At 40.4% G+C, this 22,356-nt stretch overlaps 1 protein-coding gene across 7 annotated transcripts in view, besides 1 other annotated feature; it reads left to right on the top strand.

Annotated features, from left to right (window-relative positions):
* ABCC4 (ATP binding cassette subfamily C member 4 (PEL blood group)) overlaps positions 1–22,356 on the top strand; it is a 281,617-nt gene that overhangs the window by 64,767 nt on the left and 194,494 nt on the right. For 5 of the 7 annotated variants that reach the window (NM_001301829.2, NM_005845.5, XM_047430034.1 and 2 more), the window contains exon 4: positions 1,851–2,075. The exons of 1 other annotated variant lie outside the window; for it this stretch is intronic. In NM_001301829.2, coding sequence (NP_001288758.1) covers positions 1,851–2,075 — 225 coding nt within the window. Of the gene's footprint in view, positions 1–1,850; positions 2,076–18,090; positions 18,866–22,356 lie in introns of those variants that run through there. One more of the 7 variants, XM_047430035.1, reaches the window with a different exon arrangement.
* Positions 9,796–10,090: a silencer, noted in NCBI's record as "tiled region #4491; K562 Repressive DNase matched - State 5:Enh". NCBI's record gives its function as "represses a minimal TATA promoter and a strong SV40 promoter by Sharpr-MPRA in K562 cells {active_cell/tissue: K562}" and the evidence as "EXISTENCE:reporter gene assay evidence [ECO:0000049][PMID:27701403]".

Genomic DNA, 22,356 nt, shown 5'->3' with positions numbered 1-22,356 from the left:
CATAGGGGAAAACTTCCATGACCTCATGGAAGGCAGTGCAGTTGGTGAAGTGTGTGAGAGAGAGTGTGTGTGTGTGTGTGTGCGCGCACGCGCGCGTTCACATGCCGAGACAGGCTTGTTGGGATTTAATATCATGACCCATCTGAGGGATGGGAATGTCTTCTGTAAATATCCTGATCCCGTGCTAGTTGTTTGGGATGAAAGTGTGTGTTAATTTTGTTTTTGTTTTTTACTGATTGTTCTTCTCTCACTTCAGATGGACAGAAAACAGCTATCAATGGCAAACCTGTCAGGTGTTTATTATGTCTTTGTTAAGAAGGAGAGATTGCTTAAAAGGAAAAGTTGTTTTTCAAGGTTAAGGTCTTGAAAGATTTTCAAACATTTTGCATTTTGTCTTTTGAGAAGTCAGGAGGAAATGATGTCGAGGGCCTACATGTTTACTTTTGGTGACCTGGATTTGCAATGAGTGTTTGGTTTTCTTTGTTGGGGGAAAAGGGTCCCTTACAACGGGTTCGAGAGGGAGGAAGTAGGTTGCCGGGTGAAGTGCTCATTTGGCAGGGAGGGTAAAGGAAAGCTCCTTTGCTTACCTCAAACCGTGGCTCAAGCTGCGTTCTGCTGTTTCTTTGCCTTTAGTCTTGGAGGTTAAAATTGCATTCCCTACATCTTGTTCAGAAGGTAAGCCCGCATGCTTCCCAGCTCATTGGTGTGGGATTTTAATTTTGCCTTGGGGAAAAGATGATTATTAATATTGCTTCAAAACCAGGACCTTCAAAATATGGCTGATAAAGAGAGCCACTGATGACATTCCCTTTGAGCTCAATTTCTGCTGTGTTTAATTTTTGACTCCACACTACCTGAGCCAAAGTGGCAGTTCTTCTGGGCACATCCGGGCTTGTAGGGGGCAGAAACATACTGAAGCAATGTCCTGTGGGTCCAAGAGCCTGGAATCCTCCCAAGTCTGGTTCTTTTCCCCACTCCAACTGAAGCTGGACTTGGTGGTGTTAGATCTACCGACTCTTGGAGTTTGGATTGGGAAAAATTGGAGAGTTTGATTTTCTGATCTGGGTTTGTGCCAATATCTCCATTCACAAAGGCTCTTAACTGTGAAGAAGGTGGCAAGAGTGCTGGCCTCCCATAGACGAGCCTGTGGGCTGGGATGTCAAGGGTACAGAGGAAGTGGGGTGAGAGCTGGGGTGTCTGTTTGTAAGCAAATTCCTTACTCCTCTTGGGCCATTTTTTTCCTTATTCACCTTAGGCCAAGACTTAATTTGGTAGTTTGCCAAGTGTGCTTTAAAGCCCTGTTTGTAATACAGAGCACCCACAGTGTACCAAGCACAATGTACTAAAACTTTATTGACTTTGAAATTAGAATTTTGATTTCAGGTTAAAACTCCTATCGGCTTGTCTTAAAGAAGAAAACAGTTCTGCTTTTCTTTTAGATGAGTGATGAATGTTGCACTTTGAAAATATAAAACTTGTGTTAAGAAAAAACGAGCCTAGGTGCCGTGGCTCACATCTGTAATCCTAGCACTTTGGGAGGCTGAGGTGGGAGGATCACTTGAGGCTAGGAGTTCGGGACCAGCCTGGGCAACATAGTGAGACCCTGTCTTGACCAAAAAAAAAAAATTTAGCTCTACATGATGGTGTGCACTTGTAGTCCCAGCTACTTGGGAGGCTGAGGTGTGAGGATTGCTTGAGTTAGGGAGTTCGAGGCTGCTGTGAGCTGGGATTGTGCCACTATACTCCAGCATGGGTGACAGAGCAAGCAATATCTGAAAAAAGAGAAAGTAAAAAGAAAAAATGGTGTGGTCTGTATGTCTAATTAAAGGCTTTTCTTTTTCTTCTTTTAGGAAAGTGCCAAAGTAATCCAGCCCATATTTTTGGGAAAAATTATTAATTATTTTGAAAATTATGATCCCATGGATTCTGTGGCTTTGAACACAGCGTACGCCTATGCCACGGTGCTGACTTTTTGCACGCTCATTTTGGCTATACTGCATCACTTATATTTTTATCACGTTCAGTGTGCTGGGATGAGGTTACGAGTAGCCATGTGCCATATGATTTATCGGAAGGTAAGTGACATTCAGCATTAAACATGTACCTCACCTGAAGCATCAGAAGCATTCTGAGGAAGTTTTATGTAAATTAAATACTGCATAAATAGCCACTGCACTCCAGCCTGGGTGACAGAGCAAGACCCTGTCTCTAAAAAAAGAAAAACGAAGAAAACTTCTGTAAATAGAATCATTTACACCTTACTAGAGAAGCTTGCTATTTGCATCAGGCCAATGTTTTTTTTCTTTATGCAAAATTTTCCAGTGTATAATGAAAGTTTTCTACTGCTGTCAGGGCATGGCTGCCTTTGATAACAGGCTGTTGCAGAATACTAAATTTATAATGAAATCTAATTAAAAATATCAAATTGGTTTTCAGTGTTTCTTTGCCTCAATCTCATAGTTGTATTTATGGAAATTTTTGTTGTTGTTCATTAAAACCTTCACTTACATCACAGTTGTATTCAGAAGTGAACTTCAGTGAAATTGGATCTATGAAATTAAATCTAGGAGAAAAGAATATATTTGAGAAAGGGAATTCTTATATTTTTTAAATGAACCATTTAGTCATATTCCATATAATTTTCTTAACTGAAGAAAAATGTAAATGGAATCCACGTCGGATACAGGCTTTCTTTATATTCTAAATCTAGTTGTGGTTGTTTTTAATGGTATTTAAGAAAATAGTTGGATGTTTGGGATAACACTTTGAATTGTTGATTGTTTTTCACAATTTTGGAGAGAACTTATAGTGTTTCTATTTTATGTTGGTTTTCATTCAAAGTAAGTTTTTACATTAAACAGTTGTCCCTTGGTATTCGTGGGGGATTGGTTACAGGACCTCTTGAGGATACAAAAAAATTGGAGGATGCTTAAGTCCTTGATATAAAGTGGCATAGTATTTGTATATAACTTATTCACACCCTCCCATATATGGCATTTTATTTATTTATTTATTTTAAATAATTTCATCTTTTATTTTAGATTCAGGGGTAGAGGTGCAAGTTTTTTCCATGGGTGTATTGTGTGATGCTGAGGTTTGGGTTATGGATGATCCCATCCCCCAGGCCATGAGTGTGGTACCTGATAGGTAGTTTTTCAGCCCTTGCCGCATTCCCTCTCTCCCAACTCTAGTAGTCTTCAGTGTCTTTGTTCTCATCTTTATGTCCATCTGTACCCAATGATTACCTCCCACTTATAAGTGAGAACATCTGGTATTTGGTTTTCTGTTCCTGCGTTAATTCGCTTAGGATAATGGTCTCCAGCTGCATCCACGTGGCTGCAAAGGACATGATTTTTTTTTTTTTTATGGGTGCACTCCCATGTACTTTAAATCATCTTGGTTTACTTATAATACCTAATACAATGTAAATATACATTATATAATGTACAATATACAATGTACATTGTGTACAGTTATATAATGTACATTGTAAAGTGTACATTATTTAATTGCACATTGTAAATTGTACATTATATAATTGTACATTGTATAATGTAAATATACATTGTATTAGGTACTATAAACAAATAACTGTTTAGGGAATAGTGACAAGAAAAAAATCTGTGTGTGTTCAGTACAGACACAATCACCTATTTTGTTTCCCCCAAATATTTTCAACCCCAGGTTGGTTGAGTCCAGGGATGCCAAACCCATGCACAGGAAAGGCTGACTGTATTTTCTTTCCCATTAGGGCAGTAATAATGATAAGACCTGATTTGATATTTTCTTATTTTATTTGTGCTTTTGTATTGAGATATGCCATAAATAATACCATAGTTTGCTGTGGTCTTAACTGTTATAGAAGGAGTGGGATTTCTGGTTGCTTTGCTGAGAAGTTGCCATAGAGATGCTAGTGTCAAGAGCTAAAGAACTTGTCATTAAATCAGTCCTGGATATCTCTTTGTCCTGGGCCGTTTTTTTAAGCCATTTAAATTTTTTTTTTTTTTTGAGATGAAGTCTTGCTCTGTCGCCCAGGCTGGAGTGTAGTGGTGCAACCTCTGCTCACTGCAACCTCCACCTCCCGGGTTCAAGCGATTCTTCTGCCTCAGCCTGCCGAGTAGCTGGGATTATGGACATGGGCCACCACACCCAGCTAATTTTTGTATTTTTAGTAGAGACGTGGTGTCACCATGTTGGCCAGGCTGGTCTTGAACTCCTGACCTTGTGATCTGCCCGTCTCGGCCTCCCAAAGTGCTGGGATTACAGGTGGGAGCCACCGCACCCAGCCCATTTAAATTTAAAGTATTCTTCTTTGACCTCGTTGTCACTTATCCAGAGTGTCCGTAAGGTGTCCTCCCCAAGTCTTCCTTTGACATGGGGGAATCAATCTTATAATTCTGTGAATCCTGGAGGCCTCGTGTCTTAGTGTCTATGGTACAGTATAACAGGTATGCCCGGATTCCTCATGTGTGACATGAAAATGATAACAAGGCTTGTACACACTAGTCAAGGGGTCTTCATCATCATCACCACCACCACCACCACCACCACCACCATCATCATCAGCAGCAGCAGCATCATCATCATCTGTGTTATTCTCCTGTACTCTCTTCTACCATTTAGGAGAAGAATACTCAGGTTTTTCTATAAACTAGCTAGATTTTTGTCTTTCAAGATCATACTTCTAATAAATTCATAAAAATTTTCACTAACACTCCACTTGGCAAACTTTAAAAACACCCTACATGAAGTCCGGTTTGAGGTAGTGGTTCAGTAAAACACAGCTCTTTGTACAAGTGAGATACTGTTCACCTGTTTTTCTTCCTCTTTTCCACTAACGCTTTGGAAAATAGCCTTTGGGAAATCTGATCTAACTCGGCAGACTTGCTTGCCTGCATGTAAACATCTCCCAAAGGTATTAATTTGTCAGCTTGATTATCTTAGAAGTATTGTCTCTTTATGAAGTCAAAAATTGCTTGGGTTAAACCATAAGACTTAACCTGAAATCCCAGAAACGTGGGAAAGACGAATATCCTCATGTCCTGCCTTGTATGTGGAAACATGCCCAGGTGAAGAAATAAGACACTTCCTCCTCACACGTGGGCTGCTTCCTTGGGGCAGAGGCTGGCTCTGCAGCAGGACTCTGAAAGGTCCCTCTGCGACACTGGCAGTTTCCACTGAGGCCCCCATATCCTGATTCCCGGTCTGGCAGAAATCAGGTTGGCTGTTGCAAATGGAATGACTGCCGAGCCCGTCGTCGACATTTGGTATTGAATGATCTTGCAGGATGTCTGAAAATGACTCGTCATTTATTTACTTTTTCACAGCTTTGGTAAAATTACTTTAGGCTTTTCATCATTAATTTTTCTTCTTATTGTAATAAAATATGCATAACATAAAATTTACCATTTTAACTCTTTTTAAGTGTACAGTAGTAGTTCGTTTGCATTAAGTACATTCACATCATTGTGCCTCCCAACCCCACCATCCATCGACAGAATTTGTTCATCTTCCCAGGTGGAAACTCTGTACCCATTAGGCACTGGTGTCCACTCTCCCCTCTCCACAGTTGTCAGCCTTCTGCTTTCCAGCTCTATGAATTTGATGACTCTAGGTATTTCATAGAAGTAGAATCATACAGTATTTGTTATTTTCTGTCTGGCTCACTTCATGTAGCATAAGGTCTTCAGGGATTATCTGTGTTGTATTGTATGCCAGATTTTAATTCCTTTGAAAGAGTGAATAATATTCCACTATTTGGATATGCCTCATTTTGTTTATCCATTCATCTGCCACCGGACATTTGGGTTATTTCTGCCTTTTAGCTATTGTGAACAATGCTGCTATGAACACGAATGTACAATTATCTCTTTGAGTCCTTGCATTTAGTTTTCATTTATTTTTATTTTTGAGATGGAGTCTTGCTCTGTCACCCAGTCAGGAGTGCAGTGGCATGATCTCAGCTCACTACAACCTCTGCCTCCTGGGTTCAAGTGATTCTCCTGCCTCAGCCTCCTGAGTAGCTGGGACTACAGGCACCTGCCACCACGCCAGGCTAATTTTTGTATTTTTAATAGAGACAGGGTTTCACCATGTTGGCCAGACTGATCTCAAACTACTGACCTCGCGATCTGCTCACCTTGGCCTCCCAAAGTGCTGGGATTACAGGCGTGAGCCACTGTACCCGGCCGAGTCCTTGCTTTTAATACTTTTGAGTATATATTTATTTAGAGATGGAGTTGCTGGGTTATGTGGTAATTCTGTTTAATTTTTTGAGGAACCATCATACTGTTTTTCACAGTGGCCACACCATTTTACATTCCCACTTATTCTTTAATAATTTGTCTGTTTAACTTGAGAACTAAATGAGATGTTTTTATGAATCATGACTAGCTTTAATTTGGATTGATGGCTCCAAGGGTGGTCTGTTGAAATGGTTCATGGTGGTTTGTTCAGGTTCCTCGGAACTCTGTGTTATTTCTTACAACTTTTACCAAATAAAAAGACTGTGCAGCACAGGCTGTATTTTAAGTGAGGTCAACAGATTGGCATTAAGAATATGGGCTCCTCATGGCAATAGTGTGCTGAACATTGTACTTGCTCATGTTAGAATGTCGTCAGTCACAAGTCATATTCCCAGCATGGGTTCGTATAACCTCTGCAGTGGGGACAGTGCCTTATCTCCTGTTTTTACTTTTTAGCTATCTGGGACACAGAAGCAGGGGATGTGTCCATCTTCAAGTCTCAAGGGGTTACTTCTATAGCTTAGAGCACATGAGTTGGGGAGTTGGCTCCATGTTGGAGGAAGAGGGTCCCTTTAGTCAAACTGAGCCTGGATTAAGGATAGCTGAAGATCTTCAGCCCCAGCCACCAGTGAGACTGGATCTCCCATTTGCCCTTGCCTACCTTGACTTAGGGCCAGGATAGATCTGAGCCTGAATGCTAAACATCTGAATGCTAGACCTACGATGGAATGGAGGACAGTTTCATTAATCAGGATGGGCTTGTCATCCCAGCTTTTGTATTATCAAATACATTAGGCATAGAGACTTTTCCTTAAGATCTGTGGCCTAATTAGCTCAAGATTTCTTGACTTTGTATCTAATTTGAAGAACCGTGGTGGTTCCTGCAGTGGGTTGGCTTCTGAGTTGTGGATTTTGATGTTGGGTTGGCTTGTCCTGAATGCCAGGTAAAGCTACAGCAGTACCTGAGCCTGCTTGCTGGTGCTCCTCTCTGCTGTTTGCAGACTTTTTTGCAGAATTGAGAAAGTTTGGGGAAACTTTTTATTCTGGATAAAACTGCTCGTCTTCACTTTCTTTAGAGTTACTCTGAAGGATAGTTTGAGGTAAAGTATCTGTCTGTCCTTCATCTTCCACCTTCTAAGGTGTGTTGAGTCCCTGCAGACTTTCTAGTTTTCCTTTATCATTTATTACAGATCTGCCCTAGAAGAATATATGGAATATATGTATGTAGTGTATCTCAGAGGGGTGCTCTCTATAGATTTCTGTGTTGAGAAATATTTGTAGTTACCCTAAGTGTATTGTTTAACCATTTATGTGATACTGTGTGGTTCTCTTTTTAGAATTCTGTAACTTGGGGGGAAATGCATATTCCCTGTATGCAGGGAATATGGATACTCCAGGAATACATGTATATATTCTCTTGGATGCTCCATCCAGAGTTCATATTATCAGGTACTCTTCATCTTTCTGGGGGAAGAATTCCTGTTTCTTTTAATCTTTTCATTTGAGAACCCTCTCCTCTTGACCATTTCCTTTTTTTTTCTTTAAAGAGACAGGGTCTCCCTATGTTGCCCAGGCTGGTCTCGAACTCCTGGGCTCAAGGGATCCTCCTGCCTTGGCCTCCCAAAGTACCAGGATTACAGGTGTGAGCCACCACTCCTGGCTTTTTTTTTTTTTTCAAGACAGAGTCTTGCTCTGTCGCCCAGGCTAGAGCACAGTGGCATGATCTTAGTTCACTGCAACCTCCGCCTCCCGGGTTCAAGTGATTCCCATGCCTCAGCTTCCCAAGTAGCTGGGATTACAGGCATGGTGGTGCATTTTTGTATTTTTAGTAGAGACGGCATTTCACCATGTTGGCCAGGCTGGTCGCGAACTCCAAACCTCAGGTAATGCGCCTACATTGACCTCTCAAAGTGCTGGGATTACAGGTGTGAGCCACTGCGCCTGGCCTTGATCTTTTCCTTCTCTTTTCTTGGCATTGCTGCAGGGCAGGTATATTTTTAGGTCAGTGGTCAGAGCAGCAGACAGCCTCCTCTACCACAGACTGAGTAGGAAGTGGAAGGTGCCCTCCCATAATGCACAGAGAGGCTGGGCTTGTGCACCCTTCCCAAGTCATGTCTGCCGCCCTATGCAATAAGTAGAACCTGAAGTAAAAAAAATAAATGCACCGTCATGCGCTGATGGTGAGAAGATTGCAGCCACCTGTAGCTCTCTGGCTGCATCCCAGTCTTCCCACCCCGTCTCCCTCTGGGTTTTCTCAGTGGATGTGGACAGACAATTGATAGCAAATTTTGTCAGCAACTGAGCCATACAGTGTTGTGGTCTTAGTTTTAAAACAGAACTTTTGTTTTTATTTAAAGCTATTTTTATTTCACTGTAGACTGTATATTGCTTTATATTTAGACTGAATAGTATGAAATTACAGATATTCAGGGCCGGGTGCAGTGGCTCACACCTGTAATCCCAACACTATGGGAGGCCAAGGTGGGTGGATCACTTGAGGCCAGGAGTTCGAGACCAGCCTGACCAACATGGTGAAACCCCATCTCTACTAAAAATACAAAAATTAGCCTGGCATGGTGGTGCACGCCTGTGATCCCATCTACTTGGGAGGCTGAGGCACAAGAATTGCTTGAACCCAGGAGGTGGAGGTTGCAGTGAGCTGAGATCCGTGCCACCGCACTCCAGCGTGGGTGACAGAACAAGACTCTTCTTTAAAAAAAAGAAATTACATATATTCAACTCCTTTGGGCCTTTTTACAAAACTAGCAATTTCATATGGCTCAAACTAATCTTTTGTCTATTAGTCTGTAGATCGGTTTCCTTTCTGAAGATTCGTAGAGAGCCTCTTGACAGTGTTGTCAAAGTGAAACTGTGTGGTGTGTGTGGAAGTTATCTCCCTGGACACATGTGATACTTTGGTTGGACTTCCTCTTCTAATGTTATTTTCTAAGTTTCTGACAAAATTAGAATGACCCAGTAGTGCTTCTTACATTGTCCATAATACGTTAAAATTTTTGTTTCAAAAACTTTTCTCCCCCACAGTTTTTGGTTTTACTTCTGATGTGAACTTGAATTGTACCTGGGCATTTTGTGAGACATTAATCTCATCAAGGGACAATTTGTCAGTCTTCTAGTTTGCTAGGGAATAGCTTAAGAGGAGCCAAGTTAACTTTCCATAGCTTGGAGTTTGAGCTAAGAAAGCAAGTTAAGGAGGGAGGACTTGTTTTGTTTGGATTTTTCCAAGAGGAAATTTCTGCTGCTGGAGATTTAGGAGTGTCAGATGCGTCCCATCATCTGATAATTGTATTTGCTTCACTGGGGTGTGGGTGCAAACTGGAAGAAAATGCTTTAGCTCAGTGGTTCCTCAAACTGCTCTCTGTTGTATTCATGAGGGGAAATCTTTAAAATACCACTGGTGTCTGGACTCTTCCCCTAAACATTCTGATTTAATTGCTTTAGGGAAATTTTAAAAGCTCCTATGTGATACTAATAGGCCTCAAATATGTGTTCAGCTTAATTTTATGCTTTATAACTAAGACCTTCCAGTTCACAGAGATAGCATATGGGTTGCGGGTTTAATCCCCCTCATTGGTGAATAACTCCTTCGGACTTGTAGGTATAAACCTCAAGCATGGTAGCTGTTCATCAGCCCGAGTGTCCTACCATCTGGTCTGGGAATCTCATATGCAGGAGAGCCCGGGTGTTGAGTCAGGTGTCCAGGCACTTTGTAGAAGACTCCATGAAGTCCTCTAGTGGCAGATTGGCAAGGGTAGAGATTGAGTGTGGACTCTGAGAGCAATCATGGACTCAGAGCAGTCAGACCTGAGTTCACATCTCAGTGCTGTCATTTTCTAAGCTGTAAAATCTTAAGAGAAGCACATTCGCTTCCCAGGGCCAGTTTCCTGATAACAACTTGTTGAAGACTACTCTTTCCCCATTGAATTAAGTTGGAGAAAATGTAGATTAGATGGCCATTTATGTGTGAATCTTTTTCTGGATCCTCTATTCTGTTTTGTTGATCTATATTTTCTTTGTTTTACTTTAGTAGTCAGATGGATAGAATCTATTCTTTCTTCATAGCAAATTATCTTAATTACTATAGCTTTATAAATCAAATAGTGAAAGTTACCCAACCTGTTTTTCTTTTATGATTGTTTTGACTATTCTAAGTCTCTTGCATTTTCATATTGACTTTAGAATCAGCTTTTCAAGTTTTACAGGAAACTGTTGGGTTATGCATCTTGAATTCTAAGACATGGTCTTAGAATTCCAGATGAAGTAATTCCAGATGAAGTAATTGCCCTGTTGGAGAAGTAATTCTCCAACAGGGCAATTCTATCCACCTGACTATTAATGTTAAGAGTGGGCATCTTAACATTATTTAGATTTCCAGTCTAAGAAAATAGTGTATTTACCTATTCCTCAGTTATCTACATCTTTATACATTTCTTTTTCTTTTTTTTTTTTTTTTAAGTGGAGATGGAGTCTCAGTATGTTGCCCAGGATGATCTTCCTGAGCTCAATTGATTCTCCTGTTTCAGCCTGCCAAAGTGTTGGGATTACAGGCATGAGCCACTCACGCCAAGCCCTAGATCTTTAACTCTCCTTGTAATTATTAGGATAGAGGTCTTAAAGATCATTTGTTATATTTTTATATTTTATATTTTTATATTTTTATATTTGTTAGCATTTAAAAAAGAATGCCATAATTCAAAGTAGCATTTGTGCTGTTATAAATGGTATTTTATTTATTTATTTTATTTATTTTTTGAGACAGACTCTCGCTCTGTTGCCCAAGCTGGAGTGCAGTGGCACGATCTTGGCTCACTGCAACCTCCGCCTCCTGGGCTCAAGCAATTACCCTGCCTCAGCCTCCTGAGTAGCTGGGATTACAGATGCATGCCACTGCACCCGACTAATTTTTGTATTTTTAGTAGAGACGGGATTTTACCATGTTGGCCAGGCAGGTCTCGAACTCCTGACCTCAGGTGATCCACCCACCTTGGCCTCCCAAAGTGCTGGGATTACAGGAGTGAGCCACTGTGCCCGGCCATAAATCGTATTTTAAATTTTCACTTACCGTTTGTTGTTAGTATATAGAAATACAATTGATTTTTGTATTTTTGCTTTGTTTCCTGAAACCTTGCTAAAGTGCGTTAAGTTGCAGTAATTTTTGGCTGATTCCTTAGGATAGCTATTTAGATAATCATGCCTTTGGATAAAAACAAATATACTCTGTGTGTGTGTGTGTGTGTGTGTGTGTGTGTGTGTGTGTGTGTGTGTGTGAGAGAGAGAGAGACAGACAGACAGACAGACAGTGGGGGAGAGGGAGAGAAGAAGGGAGAGAAGTTAAAATCTCCGGTTATGAGAGTTAGTCTCTTTTTCTCCTTAATCATGAACTTTTTGCATCCTGACTTACTGGATTCACTTGTATTTAAAGTTTCTTACTGGATTCATTTGTGCTTAAGGTTTATTTGTATTTAATATCCCCTCATCTTCACCGCCATACAATATTTATGCTTTAATTATTCAGTTGTCTTTCCACAATTTAAAAGAAGAAAAAAATAGTTTTTAAATTACCCACTGAATTACTATTTCTGGTGCTCTTCATTCCTTCCCTTTAGCTCCAGGTTTCCATTTGATATAATTTTTTTTCAGCATGTAAAACATCTATTAGCATTTCTTTATTTTCTTTTTTTTTTTGAGACAGAGTCTCACTCTGTCACCCAGACTGGAGTGCAGTGGCACAATCTCGGCTCACTGCAACCTCCGCCTCCCGGGTTCAAGTGATTCTCCTGTCTCAGCCTCCCGAGTAGCTGGGATTATAGGCATGTGACACCACACCTGGCTAAATTTTGTATTTTTGGTAGAGATGGGGTTTTGCTATGTTACCCAGGCTGGTCTTGAACTCCTGACCTCAAGTGATCTGCCTGCCTTGGCCTCCCAAAGTGCTGGGATTACAGGCGTGAGCCACCACGACTGGCCAACATTTCTTATAGTAGAAGTCTGCTGGCCATGAATTCTCTCATTTTGTTCTTTAATCTGAACAAATTTTTTTTTTTCTTTTGAAGCACATGGTTGCTGGATGTTGAATTCTGGGTGATAGCTGGTGGTGTCTGCCCCTCTCCCTTCAAAGGTGTTCCATTGTCAACTGGCCTTCATTCTTTCTAATAAGTTGTTAGCCATCATTTGTATCTTTATTACCTTGTTTGTAATGTTTCTCTTTTTTTTTTTTTGGGTTGATTTTTTTTTCTCTTTGATACTGATTTTTTAGAGGATTGATAATGATCCTAGGTATAATTTACTTGGTATTTATACTTCTCGGAGTTTGCTGAGCTTCTTGGATCTTTGATTTGATTCTTTTTATTATTGTAAAGTTTAGGAAATATTTAACCATTATATCTTAAGTTTTTTTTGACTTATTCTCACACTCTTGTTTTTCTTGGACTCCTATTACATATATATTAAACTATTTGAGATTGTCTTATAGGACAGTCAGTCTTTTTCACTTTTATTCAATCTTCTCTGTTGCTTTTAAACTGCTGATAAGACCAGCCAGTGATTTTTCTTTTCTCCTTTATTTCTCATTTCAGTATTGCAGCTCTAGAGTGTTTATTGGGCTCTTTTTAAAAATACTTTACACTGGCCAGGCACGGTGGCATGTAATCCCAACACTTTGGGAGGCCAAGGCGGGCAGATCACATGAAGTCAGGAGTTTGAGACTAGCCTGGCCAACATGGTGAAACCCTATCTCTACTAAAAATACAAAATTTAGCTGGGTGTGGTGGCGGACGCCTGTAATCCCAGTTACTCAGGAGGCTGAGGCAGGAGAATCGCTTGAACCCGGGAGGCAGAGGTTGCAGTGAGCTGAGATCACACCACTGTACTCCAGCCTGGGTGAGAGTGAGACTCTTTCTCAAAAAACAAACAAACAAACAAAAAACTTTACACTTTTTTGCTGAAAATCTCTATCTCTTTACTCATATTTTTCCTCAGTTTCTTTGAACATACTAACCCATTGTACATTTATACTTGTTTCTGTAAATCTTAAAATCCAATGTGTGTGCCTACTTGGATTTACTTTTATTATTTATATATTTGAGGGGTTTGGTTTTTATTATGAAGACTGCTTTCTTTATTGCCCTGAGTTAAATTTTCTTTCTTGCATGTCTAAGGTTTTTTATTGTGGACATTTTGGATGATACATTGTATGTCTGACTTCTGATAATTCTAAAAAGTATTGAATTTTACTCCAATACCATATTAACTGGCTGAACTCATAGGCCTGTTTTTTATGCTTTGTTAGGGCAGAACTTTGGAAATTTTCAGGTGTTTTCCAAGCTTCTCTAACTTGATGGGACTCAAGATTCAAAACATGTGTCATTTGCAGGCCCTGTTAGGTAGTGCTTGTTTTTTCTTGGGCAAGTTTAGAGTTAACTCTTTTTTAGTGCTCAACCTGGGTAGCACTTGACATTTAGGGCTAAATAATTTCTTTTTGGGGATGGAGAGGCTGCTCCGTGCATTGTAAGATGTTGAACAGCATCTGTGGCCTCTGCCCACTAGATACCGAAAGCGTCCCTCTAGTTGTAACAACCAGTAGTGCCTCCAGTCGTTGCCACATCTCTCCTGGGAGGCAAAATTGCCCTGTTTGAGAATTATTTCTCTGGATAGTGCTCTTGAATTCTAAGACATGATCTCTCTGGTGTTTCAACCGTATGCCAGGTGTGTTAATGATATATGAATGAGGTTTCCGCACTCTGGTCTGGTGAGAATTTCAGTACCTCACCTCAGCTTGACCTTCAGTATCTCTATTCAGCTCACTCCTCCTCAGCACCAGCTCTCTGTTAAGGCTTGGGCGGCCTTGACCTGTGCCCGCGCATCAGCCAAGGACTTGTAGCACCCCCACCCCACAGCCTTCTGGGGCCCTTCCCTTCTGATACCTGCTTACTGTCCAGGGCCATGCAGATGCCAGTGGCTTTAACTAACCCAAGCTCTGGCCTCCACCCCTTTGCTCAGCAGGGCTGCTGTGATGTGTTTGGACTTCAGCTCACTGCCACAGTCGGAAAGTGGTGTCCTAGCTCAGAGCCAAGGCAATGCTTGGTGTCTGGAGACATCTGCCTTCTAGTGTTGTACAGTTCTGAGGCAGAGGAGTGGGCCGTTATGGTATGAGCCACTTAGCCGTGGCCAGAGCCCAGTCTCTCTGCTAGTTGAATAGCCCAGATGTTTATGAGCTGTGGAGCTGGGAGCTCCAAGTGTACAGTATAGGGTGTGGTTGTGTGAGCTGTAGGACATGCCTGTTTAACTTCCTTACTGAATAGATGGAGGGTGAGGGCATATGCAAGACTGAGGGGCTCCAGCATCTGCCATATGTCACCTGTGTGCTTAACAAAAACCCCAATCCTGGGGCCATCTCAGACCTGACCTGCTGTTTCAGAATTTCTAGAGAAAGGGCCTGGAAATCTGTATATTTAATTTGTGCCTCAGGGAAGTTTCTGTACTAGAGGATGGCGAAGGGAACAACAGGTGTGGAGAGGGAGGCTGGACGTGGCTTCCTTGAAAGGGAAAGGGCCGCATGAGGCTCTGCATTCCTTTCCCCAGGACTTATATTGAAATCATGGCCAATGATTTATTTATTTTTTAAAAATATTAATTCAGTTTTTAAATTTTAGTTTTTTTTCTGTTTTTTCCTTTTTTCTATCTTCTAAGACATCCTGTTATAGCAAATTTTTACATTTTTTCATTGCCCTGCCCTGAAAATGTTTTTATTTCTCGTTTTTTTTTTTAACATATTTCTCTAGGTTTAGAATTTGTATTTTGTGCTTATTTACTGTCAGGCCTTCAAACATAATTGATTTGTTTTTAATCTTTTTCTACTAAAAATTAAAAAAAATTGTGGTAAAATATACATAACGGTCAGGCATGGTGGCTTACACCTGTAATCCCAATACTTTGGGAGGCTCAGATGGCTGGATCGCTTGAGCCTTGGAGTTCAAGACCAGCCTGGGCAACATAGTGAAACCCTGTTTCTACAAAAAATACAAAAATCAGCCAGGCATGATGGTGTGTACCAGTAGTCTCAGCTACTTGGGAGGCTGAGGTGGGAGGATTACCTGAGCTCAGGAAGTTGAGGCTTCAGTGAGCCATGATTGTGCCACTGTACGCCATCCTGGGCACTGGAGTGAGACCCTGTCTCAAAAAAATATCTGTCACATAAAATTTGTAATTTTTGCAAGGCATGGTGGCTCTTGCCTGTCATCCTCTGGTGTCCTCCATTTTACTTTCTGTCTGTAATAATCTGATTACTGAAGGGACCTCATCCAAGTGGGATCATACCATATTTATCCTTTTGTGAGTGGCTTATCTCACTTCGCATCATGTCCTCAGGTAAATTTAATTTTGGGGTTTATGTCATACATTTTCTCAGCATTTAGTGAAAAACTTCTGCCTCACCCTGATCCTCAACTGTGGTGCTGAACCTTTATTTAGCTGTAGTGGAAGAGGAAAGAATTTCTGAGATTCTACCCTTTTCTGGCTTCTTGCTCTGAGCAACTGCCTGTGTCCTGATGTGTTTTGAAGTCCTCATCTTCTCCTTTCTACTCCCTCTGGGACCCATTAGCTGAAGGAACAGGGTCATTTTCTCTTTTGGATCTCTCCTGGGGGTAATAGCTGTGGGCACAGGGCTGTTATTTGATATGCTTATCATAGAGTCGAGAAAGTGGGAAGGAGGTACCTTGGTAAAGAGTGTCTGTCCCTCCTCTCTCTGTGCATTTTTCTCCTAATTCCTTTATCCTCATCAGTGAAAGAGATGAAGGCATTACTGCATTTGGTATGTTTGGTTGTAAAAATGTATGTTAGTGAATAAGTCATTAGTAAGACATTTTCTGACATCTGTCATTTTTTTTCCTGCTGCACAAATCTCTTCATTTTCTTAAAGCTTCAAAGATAATCTTGAAATGGGAATGAATGATGGAATGAATTTTGCAGTATTACAGTACTGTGTACTGTTACTTTCGGATTACTGAATATCTGGCCTACTCAAGGTCAATACTTTGATAAATACACAACATTAGGAAAAAAGGAAAATCACGTATGTAAAATATTTTCATTTTGACTGATTCTTAGTAAAATTTTGGTGAGTCTGTAGAGTGAAGATTGCTTCCTCCAAGTATTCTTAGTCTTAAAGACGGCACATGAAACATGTCATATTTGAGAAGATACATTATAAACACATTTCTTATTTGTTTCTTATAATATTCTTTTAGAAGCAGAAAGCAGGCTGGGCACGTTGGTTCACACCTATAATCCCAGTACTTTGCAAGGCCAAGGCAGGTGGATCACTTGAGGTCAGGATTTCGAGACCAGCCTGATCAACATGGTGAAACCCCGTCTCTACTAAAACTAAAAAAAAAAAAAAAAATTAGCCAGGCATGATGGCGCATGCCTGTAATCCCAGCTACTTGGGAGGCTAAGGTAGGTGAATCTCTTGAATCTGGGAGGTGGAGGTTGCAGTGAGCCAAGATCATGCCATTGCACTCCAGCCTGGGCAACAAGAGTGAAACTGTCTCGGGGGGAAAAAAAAAGCAGAAAGAAGAAAAACATGATAAAAAAGATTTTTAAAAAATGATGATGGATGCCAAACACACCTCTAATCCTAGAACTTTGAGAAGCCAAGGCGGGAGCATTGCTTGAGCCTAGGAGTTCAAGACCAGCTTGGACAACATAGGGAGATTCTGTCTCTGCCTCGGCCCTCCCTGTTCTACCCTCCAAAAAAGCCAAGTGTGGTGGCACATGCCTATAGTCTCTTACTTGGGAGGCTGAGACAGGAGGATTGCTTGGACCCCAGAGGTGGAAGCTGCAGTGAGCTGCGATCATGCCACTTAACTCCAGCAAAAAGAGCAAGACCCTGTCACACACACACAACAAAAAGATGACAGAAGTTTGGTTTTTTTCTTCCTCTTCAATGGGGGTATACTGCATTTATATTCTCCTTAAGATGATCTTCTCTGACCTAACCCTAGACCATGTATTTGTCCCCATGTATGTCCTCACTGTCCCTTCTTTACCCACTCCCTGGCTTGTCACCCTCTCCATATTTTCCTTTTTCTTCCTGTTGCCCTGCCAGTATGTCTTGCTCATCTCTGTTCCCCTCTCAGTCGATAAACCAGTTCAGTTGGGGCTTGTTTTTCAGGCAAAGAAACTGGTGATAGCAGGGTCTGGGGCTGAGGGGTCTTTCAGCCATGGTGGGGGGATGTGGCCCCCCTTTGAACAGATTACTCTCAAACTGTGTTACATGTTCTTTCCATGGGTATTGGTAGAATTGACTAATTAGATTGTACTAATTTCCTTCAATGTATATTGACTGCCCCACCACTCATTGAAACGCTAATGGTTTTTTTTCCCTTTCTTTTCTTTTCCTTCCTTCCTTTCTTTCTCACTCTTTCTTTCTTTCTCACTCTTTCTTTCTTTCTTTCTTTCTTTCTTTCTTTCTTTCTTTCTTTCTTTCTTTCTTTCTCTTTCTTTCTCTCTCTCTCTCTTTCTCTCTCTCTCATCTGTCTGTCTCTTTTCTTTTCTTTTCTTTTTTTTTCTTTTCTTTCTTGGTTTTGCTCTGTTGCCCAGACTGGATTCCAGTGGGATGATTACTGCTTACTGCAGCCTTGAGCTCCTGGGCTCAAGCGATCTTTCCACCTCAGCCTCCTGAGTAGCTGGGACTACAGGCATGTGCCACCATGCCTGGTTAATTTTTAAATTTTTTTGTAGACAGGATCTCACTACGTTGCCCAGTCTAGTCTTGAACTCCTGGGCTCATGTGATCTTGCCGCCTTGGTCTTCTAAAGTGCTGGGATTACAGGCATGAGCCACCCTACCTGGCCTACGGAGAACTTTCTGTATAGGTTTTCAGGCTTGTATTCCAGCCATGAAAAATCAGGTGAAACACAAACAAAAGCCTCAGAAGGCAGTGAAACTGTCAGATTATAAAGAACATACAGGTTGTTGATTTTGGATGGACATTTTCATCTCCTTAAATTTCATTTCTTTTACAGAATTAGAGAAGGAATGTGACTTTGGTAGTCACCCATCATGTTTACGAGGAAGGAGGATATTAGCCAGTCCTTGGATCATCCCCTCAGAAACAGAGATTATTGGTTTTAGATTGTGCAGTCATTAAAGTAGATATGTTGTTACTAAGCAACTCTGGCCAACAGTATTGGAAAAATACAGGCAATTTTCTGCTTCAAGTGATTAAACATACTCATCCTAGTTGCCTGTTGCAGAAATACCCAGTTTAATTGGAAGTTTCATTACCTCACAAACTCAACTCTGGGGTAGGGTCATGAACCAGGAAGTAAGCAAAACATAAAATAAATAAGATAGATAATACTTACTTTATATGCTTATTCAGAACGTTTTTACTCTGACTTTACTTACAGCACTCAAAAGCCACATCCTAGTCTAAAACACTAGTAGGTAATGGTGTGACATTCTGATGAGAATAAAGAGATACCTGATAGCCTGACAGCCAGGGGCAAGATGGATCAGGAAGTACCCGAATCCGAAAAGTGTGGCCATTTGGGGACTCTGTGAGAGGAGCATCCCTGTCCACCCCGGGTCATTGACACTGGGTAAGAGCCATATTGTTGTGAGGAATTTGCATCGTGAAGGTGATGAACTGCGGTTTGCATCTTTTGTTTTATTTATTTATTTTTTTAATTTTTGAGAAGGAGTCTCACTGTCACCCTGGCTGGAGTGGCGCAATCTTGGCTCACTGCAACCCCTGCCTCTCGGGTTCAAGCGATTCTCCTGCCTCAGCCTCCCCAGTAGCTGGGATTGCAGGGGTGTGCGCCACCATGCCCAGCTAATTTTTGTATTTTTAGTAGAGACGGGGTTTCACCATGTTGGCCAGGCTGGTCTCGAACTCCTGATCTAAGGTGATCCGCCCTCCCTGGCCTCCCAAAGTGCTAGGATTACAGGCATGAGCCACCGTGCCCAGCCGCATCTTCTGTTTTAAAAGGACTATTAGAGAGGGGGGAAAGACATCTGTTAAAATGAAGATTGGATTAATGCATTTAATCCAAAAAGGGATATTCATCTCACCAGTCTGGAAAACTCAGTTCCATGAAAAGGTCATTCTCTCCTTCCACCTCCCTTTGATGGTGATATTTATGTGGCCACACTGATTAAAATAATCAAGAAAGAAGAAACAGTTTATATTTTTCAAATGAAGCTAGATATTACATGATTTATTTTTAAGAAATTGAATACAATTAATGTTTTGTTCTAGATAGTACAGTTTTCTTGTAATCTCAAATGTATTTCCTTGCCTGCCTTCAGTAGTAAGCAGCTATCAAATGGTGCCCTGCTCTGATGGTGTTTACTTCCACCATTCACAGTATTGTTCTTAATGGCATGCGGATTCTAGAGTAACCAATAATTAGATACTCAGATGTTTTCCAGTTTTTAGTAATTAGATAGTTAGATGTCTTCTAGTTTTTGTATATTACAAATAGCATTTTAATGGACATGATTAAAGCTAAACATTTGGACAGATCCTTCATTTCCTAGGGCGTACAAATTTCAAGGCTTTTGCTATGCTAGATTGATTTCCTCCCCAAGAGTTGTTAATTACTTACATTTTCCCCGGTGAAATGAGAGAGCTCCCTACAAGTCCAGATTTGATGTTATATTTTAATAATCACTGTCAATCTCACCAATTTTCATAGGTGAAAAATAATGCATTGTTGTTTTAATTTACATGGCTTTGTGTAATAGTGGATTTCAGCATTTGCATTTCCTTGGCCATTTGTGCTGGTTTTTTTTTTTTTTTTTTTTTTTTGTGAATTTCCTGCACACATTCTTTGCTCCTTTTAAAAAATAATTGGTAGGCATTTATAATTCATATCGATATGTAGGGGCCGTTGATTTATTAAAGATATTTTGGGTCTGGGATGTGTACTACAGGTTTTGATTTCAGTTTGTTTTAGTTGCCTTTTATTTGTTCTCATGGTAGAACTATTTTGTTTTCACAGGGAAAACAAATTTAATCTAATGGTGTCCTTTTATAACCTGTCAGGTTAATGAAGCATAGAATCAAAATATTTGCAGAACGATGATACATTAATTTACAGATTTTTTCTGTACATTGGATGTGAACTCTTTTAAACTATAACATGGACACTTTATTGGAACCAAACTTTAGTTTTCTACATTAATGAGAAACACTGGTAACTTTGCTTCATTGAAAAAATAATTGCTTGTTCTCTGTCAGATGTAAGTAGTTTGAGTTTATTTTTATCTTCTCATCTACAAAATAGGAATAATTCTTACTTCATAGTTGTTTTCTTGTTCAGTTGTCTGGCTTACAGTAGGTGCTTACTAAATGGTAGCTTGATTTATGATCATAATGACATAAATGAATATGACTTGGTCTATATATTCTGGTAGCTGCTGAGGGTAACACAGATATATGATTACACTAATTGTACTTCTGAGGATGTGAGCAGTGTTTTGTTGTTGTTGTTTGTTTGTTTCTTTGGTGTTGATTTTAGGTAGAACTTTGATTATCAATTTTATGCCTTCTTTTTAAATGCAAAGTCCTTAAAGCCAAAAGTTTACTCTAAGACTTGCTTTAGCTATAACTCGCAAATTATTATCATTTACTTTAAAATATTTCAGATTTCCCTTATGATGTCATCTTTGACACATGCTTATTTAGAAATATTGTTAATATTCAGATATTTTGAGTTGTTAGAGATGTCTTATTGTTGATCTGTAATTTAATTCTGCTGTCACCAGAATACATTCTGTGTAACATTTTTATGTTCAGATATTGATTGAAATTTACTGACGGCCCAACATAAGGACTATTTTACCTTAAAAGTTAGAAGTATGCAACAGTAAAATTCTATTACCTTCCCCATCTTGTGTGCTATTGTCGTATATTTTACTTCTGTCTCCAAAATGCACCATTACCATTTTTGCTCTAAGCAGCTAGTTGTTTTTCAAAGTAATTTGTCTTCTTTTTATTTATTTTTTATTTTTTTTTAGACAAGGCCTCACTTTGTCACCCCGGCTGGAGTGGAGTGGTGTGATCTTGGCTCACTGCAACCTCCGCCTCGTGGGTTCAAGCGATTCTCCCACGTCAGCCCCCGAGTAGCTGGGTCTACAAGTGTGTGGCACCATGCCTGGAGAATTGTTATATTTTTTGTGGAGCCCAGGCTGGTCGCGAACTCCTGAGCTCAAGCAATTTGACTGCCTCAGCCTCCCAAAATGTTGGGATAACAGGCATGAGCTATCATGCCCAGCCTGTCCTTATATTTACTCACATTGGTCATTTTGGTTTCTCTTTATTCTTTCTGTAGATCTGAGTTTCCATTTGATACCATCTCCTTATAGCTTGAAAAGTATTCTTTACGCTGTTTTTTACAGTTCAGGTTCATTGCTGATAAAGTCTCTCAGCCTTTTTCTGAAAATGTCCTAATTTCACCCTCATATTTTAAAGGACATTTTGTGTTGGTGATAGAATTCAGAGTTGACAGGTGTTTTTTTTTTTTTTTTTTTGAATTGGAGTCTCACCTATCACCCAGGCTGGAGTGGAGTGGCGCGATCTCGGCTCACTGCAACCTCTGCCTCCCAGGTTCAAGTGATTTTCCTGCCTGAGCCTCCGGAGTGGCTGGAATTACAGGTGCCCACCACTGTGCCCGGCTAATTTTTGTATTTTTAGTAGAGGCGGGGTCTCACCATGTTGGCCAGGCTGGTCTCGAAGTCCTGGGCTCGAGTGATCTGCCCGCCTCAACCACCCAAAGTGCTGGGAATACAGGCATGAGCCACCGCACCTGGCCAGTTATTTTTGTCTGTCTTTCAGCACTGTAAATATTGTTCTGTTGTCTTCTTGTTTTCATTGTTTCTGGTGTGTCAGCTTCTGCTTGTTTTTGTTGTTTCTCTGTGTTTAATGTGTGTCTAGGTATAGATCTCTTTGTTTTTGTCCTTCATTGAACTTGCTAAGATTCTTCATTATGTAAATTAATATTTGCTACCAACTTTGGTAAAATTCCAGTCATTATTTGTTCAAATATTTTTTCTTCCCCTATTTCTTCTTCTTTTAGGACTCCAATTA

Source organism: Homo sapiens, chromosome 13 (genome assembly GCF_000001405.40).
Source record: "Homo sapiens chromosome 13, GRCh38.p14 Primary Assembly".
In the NCBI taxonomy this organism is placed as follows: Eukaryota; Metazoa; Chordata; class Mammalia; order Primates; family Hominidae; genus Homo; species Homo sapiens.
This window is presented reverse-complemented; position numbering and strand designations above follow the sequence as displayed.